The sequence below is a fragment of the Homo sapiens genome, chromosome 12 (assembly GCF_000001405.40).
Source record: "Homo sapiens chromosome 12, GRCh38.p14 Primary Assembly".
In the NCBI taxonomy this organism is placed as follows: domain Eukaryota; kingdom Metazoa; phylum Chordata; class Mammalia; order Primates; family Hominidae; genus Homo; species Homo sapiens.
The window spans coordinates 31,679,839-31,692,126 of NC_000012.12; the positions used below are offsets into that span (position 1 = coordinate 31,679,839).

At 40.3% G+C, this 12,288-nt stretch overlaps 1 protein-coding gene across 7 annotated transcripts in view, besides 1 other annotated feature; it reads right to left on the reverse strand.

Moving 5' to 3' along the window:
- Positions 1 to 12,288, reverse strand: part of AMN1 (antagonist of mitotic exit network 1 homolog) — a 58,038-nt gene that overhangs the window by 8,702 nt on the left and 37,048 nt on the right. For all 7 annotated transcript variants that reach the window (NR_103523.1, NR_103522.2, XM_017018965.3 and 4 more), the window contains one exon: positions 9,169 to 9,280. Coding sequence is in view for 5 of the 7 variants with exons in the window: in XM_017018965.3 (XP_016874454.1) it covers positions 9,169 to 9,280 (112 nt within the window). In the remaining 2 variants the exon portion in view is untranslated. The remainder of the gene's footprint in view (positions 1 to 9,168; positions 9,281 to 12,288) is intronic.
- Positions 2,609 to 2,698: a silencer, noted in NCBI's record as "silent region_4328". NCBI's record gives its function as "represses an Ori minimal core promoter by ATAC-STARR-seq in GM12878 lymphoblastoid cells {active_cell/tissue: GM12878}" and the evidence as "EXISTENCE:reporter gene assay evidence [ECO:0000049][PMID:35858748]".

Below are 12,288 nucleotides of genomic sequence, written 5' to 3' on the forward strand. Positions count from 1 at the left end.
TTTAGGACAGGCTTGGTGGCTCACACCTGTAATCTCAGTACTTTGGGAGGCTGAGGTGGGCAGATCACCTGAGGTCAGGAGTTCGAGACTAGGCTGGCCAAAATGGTGAAACCCTGTCTCTACTAAAAATACAAAAAATTAGCCGGGTGTGGTGGCACCCGCTTGTGATCCCAACTCAGGAGGCTGAGACAGGAGAATCGCTTGCACCCGGGAGGTGGAGGTTGCAGTGAACCAAGATCGCACCACTACACTCCAGGCGGCAACAAAGAGTGAAACTCCATCTCAAAAAAAAAAAAAAGATTTAGTAAGTTTAAAAATTATTTTCATGCTGTTGTAACATCTATAAAACTATAATTTTCTTTTCTTTTCTTTTCTTTTGAGATGGAGTTTTGCTCTTTGTTGCCCAGGCTGGAGTGTAGTGGTGTGATCTTGGCTCACTGCAACCTCCGCCTCCCGGGTTCAAGCAATTCTCCTGTCTCAGCCTCCCAAATACCTGGGATTATAGGCACCCGTCACCACGCCCGACTCATTTCTGTATTTTTAGTAGAGACGGGGTTTCACCATGTTGGCCAAGCTGGTCTCAAACTCCTGACCTCAGGTGATCCGCCTGCCTCGGCCCCCCCACAGGGCTGGGATTACAGGCGTGAGCCACCATACACAGCCAAAACCATAATTTTCATATTTCTAATAGCAGCTTAGTTTTTATCTCTTCTGCAGAAACCAACTCAGAGTACTTCTAACAGTTTCAAGTCCTAATTCATAATGTGAAGTTATGTTTTATTCTAACTAAGGTTAAGAAATTTTATAAATACTTAGAAACATAGTCGAGAAAATAGGTTAATTCAGGAGATCTGATGGGAAATTACAGTGAGCAGTGCTAATCTGGGAGTCAGGTTGCTTTGAGGGTAACAATATTATAATTGCACATGCATATGCAAGTATAGTAAATACTTTCTATATAATATAAATTTTATGGTCTTAAATACTCATATGTGAGCAACCATATGAATATATAAGAGGAATCATGTTATATAAGGTGTCACGAAAGAAGAAAGGCCTTCCATGTATCAAACAAAAAACCCCCACAAACACAACCAGCATTTATCTTCCTTGGAAAAAGAAGAAATTAAAAATCAAATATAAGGTGAACATGTTAGCCCACTTTACTTCCATTCAATGATGTTAGCAAAAATATATCATTATAGAAGATTTAGGGGTACTGATGGTTAAGTGGGAAGAGTAGAAGTGATCTGGGTAGTTAAAATTTCTTCAGCTTTTTTCTCTTTAGTTTATTAATAAAAGCCATTTTATATGAACTATTTAAAAAATTTATTTTTTTTGATGTGATGACTCAAGGTAGAATATATTGTATGAACTCTTGCATTATTATTTTTATTTATTTTTTTTGAGACGAAGTTTCGCTCTTGTTGCTCAGGCTGGAGTATAGTGGCATGACCTTGGCTCACTGCAACCTCTGCCTCCTGCGTTCAAGCAATTCTCCTGCCTTAGCCTCCTGAGTAGCTGGAATTACAGGCATACATCATCATGCCTGGCTAATTTTTGTATTTTTAGTAGAGACAGGGTTTCACCATGTTGGTCAGGCTGGTCTCATAGTCCTGACCTCAGGTGATCCACCTGCCTCGGCCTCCCAAAGTTCTGGGATTACAGGCGTGAGCCACCATGCCCGGCCTCTTGCATTATTATTAATATTAGATCTCTCAATGTTATGATAATTGGCCATTATGCACAAGGCAAAGTCGAGATCCATAAGAGTTAAGTGATTTATTCGATGTTCTGGAGAGATGGCGTGGATGGGATCAGCGTTCGTTTTACTGTATCTTAAGATTTTAGTTTTAGTCTTAGCACTATTATTATTTTATTAGACAGCAAGTCTCAGTTAATGTTGTGCAGGCTGATTTCAAACCCCTGGGGCCTCAAGCGATCCTCCCACCTCAGCCTCCCGAGTAGCTGGGACTATAGGTGTGCACCACCATGCCCAGCTAATTAAAACAATTTTTTATAGAAGCAGGGTTTCTCTATGTTGCCCAGGCTGGTGTCAAACTCCTGCATTCAAGCGATCCACCCACCTTGGCCTCCCAAAGTGCTGGGATTACAGGCATGAGCCACCGCACCCTGACACAAATAACATTTCAATATCTCACTTTCCTATTCTGTGAAATCAGGGATCAGAAAAATAACATTTTAAAATGTGATGGAGTTGGCTAGGGTAATCAAAAAAGTGTTCTGTGCTAGAAATTTGGAAATGCTTGGACAAACGAAGTTAAACAGTTTCTTAGCTATAGTATTTCTCAGAGCCTTTGACAAATTAACATTCATAATAGTGGCATGTTGCCCTTCACAAACTTTTTGGACATATAAACACTTTTTGTTTTATGTTATGGCACACCATGTAACTGCAGTGAATCTGAAGGATTTCAGGGCAGAACAAAGAAAAAGATGTGACCACAAGGTGGCAGTGGGACACAACAAGCTCTCTTTGGACAGCGCTTTGACAGGTTTGTATGCCGGGAAGTCCCTCACAGCATGAGACCTTCCAAAGGCAGCGACAGTGTAGGGCGGCCACTACTCAGAAGGGGGAGGGTAAGAGAATTCCTGGAGGACTAGAGAGAGGGTGTATGTGTCATGACGTTGTTTAGCAGCAAGATCGGCGGGGCGGGTGGGGGGGTGTCTCTGGGTTACAGAGCTCCAAAGGGCAGCAGTGATTTGGGGTCTTTTATAGCCTGGGGTTTTTATCTATGGATAGTAGACGTTGAGTGTAGTTTGCAGGGTATGTAAAGCAGGTGGGCTCTAGATAGATGGCTAATAATTTGGTTATTTAGGCTATACTTAAACAATTGGATGTGTAAACATTTGATTTGGTGATGATGGGCTTTTGAGCTAACAGTCCTGGTTGCTGTGAAGAAGTAAACAACACAGGGCCCCAAAGGTCATTTTTAGATCATGTAACGGTAACACCTAGTCCAGCATTTACCAACTGTGATCTTCCAGATCAAAAATATTTTTATTCCAAATATTTTGAACTCCTGCCATTTCAATGTCTACTTCCACTACTTCTGGCAGCCACACAAAAATATAAGAAGTGATTTGAAAGGGGTATGCTATTCTTTTTTTTTTTTTTTTTGAGACAGTGTCTCACCTTGTCACTCAGGCTGGAGTGCAGTGGCACAATCTTGGCTAATTGCAACCTCTGCCCCCCAGGCTCAAGTGATCCTCATGCGTCAGCCATCAGAGTAGCTGGGATTACAGGCGTGCGCCACCATGCCCAGCTAATTTTTGTATTTTTAGTAGAGAGGGGGTTTCACCATATTGGCCAGGCTGGTCTCAAACTCCTAATCTCAAGTGATCTGCCTGCCTTGGCCTCCCAAAGTGCAGGACTACAGGCGTGAGCTACCACACCTGGCCAGAAAATGATATGCTATTCTTGCTGCAAATGTTGAAGTTGACTGATAATTTTTCTTTACCATAAAGCAGTGGTTCCCAAAGTGTAGTCTGCATATTCTGTAGTCTGAGACCCTTTCAGGGTTGTGAACTGAACTAGTTACTTTTCTCATGGAACACCATTTTTACTTTTTAAAAGAATGATTGATATGGTTTGACTGTGTCGCCACCCAAATCTCATCTTGAATTGTAGCTCCCACAATTCCCATGTGTCGTGAGAGGGACCCGGTGGGAGGTAATTGAATCATGGGGGCAAGTCTTTCCTGTGCTGTTCTTATGATAGTAAATAAGTCTCATGAGATCTGATGGTTTTAAAAGGGGAAACCCCTTCTCTTGGCTCTCATTCTCTCTTGCCTGCCACCCTGTAAGACGTGCCTTTCGCCTTCAGCCATGATTGTGAGGCTTCCCCAGCCACGTGGAACTGTGAGTCCATTAAACCTCTTTTTCTTTATAAGTTACCCAGTCTTGGGTATGTCTGTATCAGCAGTGTGAAAACGGACTAATACAATGACTACAGTGTAAGGTTATTCTTATTTGAGTACTTGGCAGACTATTTCATGAAAATAGAAGAAATGAGGCTGTCATTTCAAAGAAAACAAATGACAGAATTTGTTGTCAGTGATAAAGCTTTAGCTTTCAAGTGAATTTTGGAAGCCTCGTAGCTGCCACTGTGATCTTGAAAGCTATCCAGGACCTTTCTAATGACATCAGTTATTATGTTAACAACTGATTTTTGTTTTGGATAATAAAATGTGTCAATATTTAAAAGATCTATATAACTCAGAGAACCAATATTTTCCGAACTGCCAATGCATGATGTTACAAAATCATGCATTGGTAAAGATCAACTCAAAATTCAAGACAGACTAGTGCATCATAACACAAATGTATGAAAAGTGCATCATAACAAAATGTACGCAAAGTTCATTGATATGTTTTCAAGTTCCACATTGCAACAACCCATAAGAAATTACCACTTGCTGAGTTTTGGGGTATCAAAGAAGAGTATCCACAATGATCTGAAAAGTGATGATCTGAATGAAAATATATCTCTTTTCTAGGTAATAGATTTACGATTTTTAAAAAATGAATGTCTATTAAAATTTATCTGTTTTAATAGAAATTTTAATTTAACAAATATACATAAACAAAAACTCTTTGGGGATCCTCAGTGATTTTTTTTTTTTTTTTGAGATGGAGTCTCACTCTATTGCCCAGGCTGGAGTGCCGTTGTGCGATCTTGGCTCACTGCAAGCTCGGCCTCCCAAGTTCATGCCATTCTCCTGCCTCAGCCTCCTGAATAGCTGGGACTACAGGCGCCCGCCACCATGCCCGGCTAATTTTTTTGTATTTTTAGTACGGACAGGGTTTCACCGTGTTAGCCAGGATGATCTCGATCTCCTGACCTTGTGATCCACCTGCCTTGGCCTCGCAAAGTGCTGGGATTACCGGCGTGAGCCACCGCGCCCGGCCTGGGATCCTCAATAATTTTTAAGAATGTAAATGGGTCCTGGGGTCTATTTGAAAAATACTACCAGAAAGTATTATTTCAATTACTGAAACCTACAAATGGTTAAGTGTTTTCTCATCACCAACATAAAAATACGAAGGTAAAACCAATAGAATTGCTCTGAAACATACGGGGAATACAAAATCTAAGATGCTTCTTAAGTGAGTTACATTTATATCACATATCTTTTAGATTTTTATAAATTTTGTTTTCCATAATTATTATTTTTTTTTTTTTGAGATAGAGTCCTGCCCACTCTTGCCCAGGCTGGAGTGCAGTGCGGAGATCTTGGCTCACTGTAACCTCTGCCTTCCAGGTTCAAGCTATTCTCCTGCCTCAGCCTCCCAAGTAGCTGGGATTACAGGCACCCAGCCCCACACTCAACTAATTTTTGTATTTTTAGTAGACACAGGGTTTCACCATGTTGGCCAGGTTGGTCTTGAACTCCTGACCTCAAGTGGTCTGCCCACCTCAGCCTCCCAAAGTGTTGGGATTACAGGCGTGAGCCACTTCGCCTGGCCTATAATGGTATTTTAATTTGTATGTTGAACAAAGATGGCTCTTAAGGTTCAACATTAACAGCAATTCTACTTTTGTCTCCCTTGGTCCCTCCAAAGCTGTCCATTGAAGGATCATTCTTCCCACACTCTTAAATGAAAATTTAGTTAATACCATGACTTTCACATTTTTTCCACTATAGAACGCTCAAACAGCTGGGCGTGGTAGCTCACGCTTGTAATCCCAGAACTTTGGGAGGCCAAGGCGGGCAGATCACCTGAGGTCAGGAGTTCGACAACAGCCTGGCCAACATGGTGAAACACCATTTCTACTAAAAATACAAAAATTAGCCAGACCTGGTGGCGGGCGTCTGTAATCCCAGCTACTTGGGAGGCTGAGGCAGGAGAATCACTTGAACCTGGGAGGCGGAGGTTGCAGTGAGTCAAGATTGCACCACTGCACTCCAGCCTGGGCGACAGAGCAAGACTCATTATCAAAAAAAAAAGAAAGAAAGAAAGAAAAAAGGAATGCTCAACCGCATTTGTTATTATTTTTTTTTTTTTGGAAACGGAGTTTCACTCTTGTTGCCCAAGCTGGAGTGCAATGACGTGATCTCAGCTCATTGCAATCATTTAGTGTGATTAAGCTCATTGCACTCATTAATCATTTAGTGTCATTAAGCTTTCCTGGTGTCTGAAATCACATCAACTAGGCATTTATCTTAAATCCATGATCTGTTAACATATCTTTGGTTACTAGTGATCTCCATAATGACATAATTTATCTCAAAAGACTCCTTGGTTTGAAAATCTGATTAACCACTCCAGTATATTTTCCAGACTTGAAAACTGGTATTTAGGCCAGGCATGGTGATTCATGCCTGTAATCCCAGCACTTTGGGAGACTGAGCCAGGTGGATCACCTGAGGTCAGGAGTTCAAGACCAGCCTGGCCAACATGGTGAAACCCTGTCTCTACTAAAATACAAAAATTAGCTGGGTAGGGTGGTGCAAGCCTGTAATCCCAGCTACTTGGGAGGCTGAGGCAGGAGAAGCACTTGAACCCAGGAGGTGGAGGTTGCAGTGAGCCAAGATCATGCCTCTGCACTCCAGCCTGGGTGACAGAGTGAGATTCTGCCTCAAAAAAAGAAAAAAGAAAATTGGTATTTATTGCTTCTCTCTACAGATGCTTCTCAATTTATGATGGGGTTACACCCTGACAAACTCATAAGTCGAAAATACACAAAGTCGAAAATGTGTTCAATATACCTAACTTACTGAACAACATAGCTTAGCCTAGCCTACATGCTCAGAACACTTAAATTAGCCTACAGATGGGCAAAATTTTCCGACACAAAGCCTATTTTTTAATAAAGTGTTGACTGTCTCATGTAATCTATTGAATATTATACTGAAAGTGAAAAAAATGCTTGCACAGGTTCTTGAAGTATGGCTTCTACTGAATGCATATGGCTTTTGCACCATTGTAAAGTCGAAAAACTGTAAATTGATCATTTTAAGTCAGGGATCATCTGTGTGCTGACAGCCACCACGTCCAACCAATTAATTTTTAATAGTTTAAAAATAATCCACATGATATAAAATTCAAAAGATACAAAAGGGTATACAATGACATTTTTTTTCCTACTCTTGTTCCTTCACAACTTTCTGTGCAGCTAACCCCAGTTAACAGTTTCTTTTTTTCTTTTTTCTTTTTCTTTTTTTGACACAGGGTCTCACTCTGTTACCCAGACTGGGGTGCAGTGGGGTGATCATGGCTCACTGCAGCTTCGACCTCCCAGGCTTAAGTGATCCACCCACCTTAGCCTCCCACAGTGCTGGGATTACAGGCATAAACCACTGCACCCGGCCACCAGTGTCCTTACTGGCTCTAGTTTCTTAAGAAATGTCTTTGCATAAAGATCTAATCTTCACTACAGATGTCACTGATACCCAGATACAATCTATGGTTACAGCCTTGGTTAAGGCTGGCAACCTAAAAATAAAAAAGAGAAGTTGTCAAAGGGACTTCCTAAAAATAAAAGAGAAGTTGTCAAAGGGACTTCCAGGATAATAGCTTAACCTACAGAATAATTGTTTAGACTGGCTGGGCATGGTGGCTCACGCCTGTGATCCCAGCACTTTGGGAGGCTGGGGTGGGTGGATCATGAGGTCAGGAGCCTGGCCTGACCAGTATGGTGATACCCCGTCTCTACTAAAAATACAAAAATTAGTTGGATGTGGTGGCATGCGCCTGTAGTCCCAGCTACTTGGGAGGCTGAGGCAGGAGAATCACTTGAACCTGGAAGGCAGAGGTTGCAGTGAGCCAAGATTGCACCACTGCACTCCAGCCTCGGCGGGTGACAGAGCGAGATTCTGTCTCAAAAAAAAAAAAAAGAATAATTGGAATAATTATTTAGACTGTAATAAGAAAAATGAGCTGGAAGGACTGGGCATAACTACTGATTTACAAGTTAGATCCAGTTTATATTACGGTGTGGACCTATTATAGGGGTAATATGAAAGGGTGCCATGGTTTCTAGGGTAGGAGGATATATACCATGGCTCTTATACAGGCAAAATGGGCTACTGCTGTTTTGTTCTCCTCCAGTGAAGAGCCACATTAGCCTAAGAGTCCAAATTTTTCTGACTTTTTGTTTGTTTGTTTGAGACGGAGTTTCGCTCTTGTTGCCCAGGCTGGAATGCAATGGCGTGATCTCAGCTCACTGCAACCTCCACCTCCCGAGTTCAAGTGATTCTCCGTCCTCAATCTCCCGAGTAGCTGGGATTACAGGTGCGCACCACCACACCTGGCTAATTTTGTAATTTTAGTAGAGATGGGGTATCTTCATGTTGGTCAGGCTGGTCTCGAACTCCCAACCTCAGGTGATCCACCCGCCTTGGCCTCCCAAAGTAATGGGATTATAGGCATGAGCCACCACGCCCGGCTATTCTGATCCTAATGTCTACAGTTTGATAATAGTTAACAAGTCATTTAGTGTATTTGATAGATGTAATATTATAAACTTGAAATTTTCTTATTGTTTACATAAAGCATCATGTTCAATATCATGAACACAACTACTGCTGCCATCATAATCTTCTTCATAGGTAACATTTATTGAGCACTGGCCACCATTACCACCTTCATTTATCGTTATCATGACTAACATTTATTGAGCTCTTACTATGTGCAAGGCCACCACATAAGGAATTGTCAGAGGCCGGGCGCGGCAGCTAACGTCTGTAATCCTAGCACTTTGGGAGGCCAAGGCAGGCGGATTGCCTGAGCTCAGGAGTTAGAGACCAGCCTGGGCAACACGGGGAAATCCCGTCTCTGCTAAAAATACAAAAAAAATTAGCCTGGCATGGTGGCGTGCACCTGTAGTCCCAGCTACTCAGGAGGCTGAGGCAGGAGAATTGCTTTAACCCAGGAGGTGGAGGTTGCAGTGAGCTGAGATTGCACCATTGCACTCCAGCTTGGGTGACAGAGCAAGACTCCGTCTCCCAAAAAATTAAAATAAAATAAAATAAAATAAAGAATTGTCAGATAATCATGACTAAGTCTATGAGGTAGGTACTCTCATTATGCCTGTTTTACAGATGAGGAAACTGAATAATGAAATGGGTTAAGTAATGTACTCAAGGTCACACAGTAAAAGATGAAGCCAGAATTTGAACCCAAGCAATCTATTGCACTAACCTGTTATCAAGGGGCATCCATGGAAGAGTAATATACGTATTTGAGGACAGTAAGTAAGGACAGCTTCGACAGCCCCATCAGTCAGATTTACACAATGTCCCATATGAATCTCCTATGCAAAAATAAAGAAAATAAAGTCAAATGAAAACAAAGATCTATAATAACAGTATGAACAATTTTGAGAAACATTCTGATACAAAAAGAACCAGATATCTACTTGCAAAAAAAAAGTATATAGAAAAGACCAATATAAGTCTGAAGTAATTTGGAAGGAGCAGCTTAAAAAGTTAAATGCCCAACCATTTTATAAAGTAATGTGTAATAGCTATTAAAGCTGAAGATGAGTATGCCCCAGAACTCAGCAATTCCAATTGTTGATCTACAGAGAATCTCTTCTACATGTGCACAAGGAAACAATTTATAAATATGCCCTTTGCAGTATTACTTGTAATAGTAAAAAAAGTGGAGAACGGGAAAATCAATGCTTTATAGAAAACAGCTAAAATGAAAAATATCTACTTGTATTAATAGACATAAATCTCAAACATGTTAGTTCAGACCCTTTGGCAAACAGTATGGTAGTATCTTATAAAGCTAAACATGTATTTGCTATATGACCCAGCAATTTCACTCGTAGGCATTTACCCAAGAAAAATAAAAACATATGTCTACACAGAGGTTTGTATGCAAATGTCTGCAGCAGTCCAAAATTGGAACCCAAATGTCCATCAAATGATAAAATTATTTTTAAATTTTTTAAAAATTTCCATAGATTTTTGGGGAACAGGTGGTATTTGGTTACATAAGTAAGTTCTTTAGTGGTCATTTGTGAGATTTTGGTGCAACCATCAACCAAGCAGTATACACTGAACCCGATTTTTAGTCTTTTACCCCTCACCTCCTTCCCACCCTTTCCCCCTGAGTCCCCAAAGTCCATTATGTCATTCTTATGCATTTGCATCCTCATAATTTAGCTCCTACTTATGAGTGAGAACGTATGATGTTTGCCTTTCCATTCCTGAGTTACTTCACTTAGAAGAATAATCTCCAATCCCATCCAGGTTGCTGTGAATGCCATTAATTCATTCCTTTTTATGGCTGAGTAGTATTCCATTGTATACATATACCACAGTTTCTGTATCCACTCGTTGATTGATGGGCATTTGCATTGGTTCCACATTTTTGCAATTGCAAATTGTGCTGCTATAAACATGTGTGTACAAGTATCTTTTTCGTATAATGACTTTTTTCTCTGGGTAGACACCCAGTAGTGGGATTGCTGGATCAAATGGTACTTCTACTTTTAGTTATTTAAAGAATTTCCACACTGTTTTCAATAGTGGTTGTACTAGTTTACATTCCCACCAGCAGTGTAGAAGTGTTCCCTGTTCACCACATCCACACCAACATCTATTATTTTTTTATTTTTTTTATTATGGCCATTCTTGCAGGAGTCAGGTGGTATCGCATTGTGGTTTTGCTTTGCATTTCCGTAATCACAAATGATGTTGAGCATTTTTTCATGTTTGTTGGCCATTTGTATATCTTCTTTTGAGAATTGTCTATTCATGTCCTTAGCCCACTGTTTGATGGGACTGTTTGCTTTTTTCTTGCTAATTTGTTTGAGTTTGTTCTAGATTCTGGATATTAGTCCTTTGTCAGATGTATAGATTGTGAAGATTTTCTCCCATTCTGTGGGTTATCTGTTTACTCTGCTGACTATTCCTTTTGCTGTGCAAAAGCTGTTTACATTTAATTCCCAGCTATTTATCTTTGCATCAAATGGTAAAATTATAAATAAATTATGGCATATCCATACTATGGAACACTACTTAGCAATAAAAAGGGGCTGAGTGTGGTGGCTCATGCCTGTAATCCCAGCACTTTGGGAGGCCAGGGTGGGTGGATCATGAGGTCAGGAGACCGAGACCATCCTGGCTAACATGGTGAAACCCCCCGTCTCTACTAAAAATACAAAAAAATTAGCTGGGCATGGTGGAACATGCCTGTAGTCCCCACTACTTGGGAGGCTGAGGCAGGAGAATCACTTGAACCTGGGAGATGGAGGTTGCAGTGAGCCGAGATCATGCCACTGCACTCCAGCCTGGGTGATAGAGCAAGACTCCGTCTCAAAAAAAAAAAAAAAGGAATGAAATATTAACATATGCAATAACATGGATCAATCTCACAAACACTATGCTAAGTGAAGGAAGTAAAATAAAGAAATAAAAACCAAAATAGTATATTATATTCTGCAGAATTCCATTATATAAAATTATATGTATATAAAATTGAATTTATATACAATTATAGAAAAGCCAAAACAATGACAAAGTAAATCAGTGGTTGCCTAAGAGAGGGTCACAGAAGGGGATCAACTACAAAGGACCAGAGACAAAAAAACAAAATAAAACCACAGAGAACACAGACAACTTTTTAGGGTGATGAAAATGTTCTATACATCAATTGTGGTGGTGGTTATATGGCTGTATAACAATTACCAAAATTTATCCAACTATGCACATAATATGAGTGAATTTTCTTGTATGTAAATTATACCTCAATTATACCTGAAAAATTTCAGAAAACATAATTTTGAATAACAAATTGTAAAGGGACATATATTATGAAGCTATTATGTAAAATTTGAAAGCATATAAAACAAGGCTATATCTTATTTATAGATTTGTACATAATAGAAAAAGTATCCATTTCTGTCTGAGCAGGGTCCACAGGAAGAAAAAAAAGAAAAGGTATCCAAACATGCAAGGAGAGATACATAATCATATTTAGGATAGTGGTTACTTCTGAAGGCAGAAAGGGAGAATAATTGAGCGGGGCTTTAGATGTAACATTATTTTATTTTATTTTACTTTATTTATTTTTTTGAGACAGAGTTTCATTCTTGTTGCCCAGGCTGGAGTGCAATGGAGCAGTCTTGGCTCATTGCAACCTCTGCCTCCAGGGCTCAAGTGATTTTTCTGCCTCAGCCTCCCAAGTAGCTGGGATTACAGGCATGTGCAAATATGCCTGGCTAATTTTTGTATTTTTAGTAGAGACAGGGTTTCACCATGTTGGTCAGGCTGGCCTCAAACTCTGACCTCAAGTGATCCACCCGCC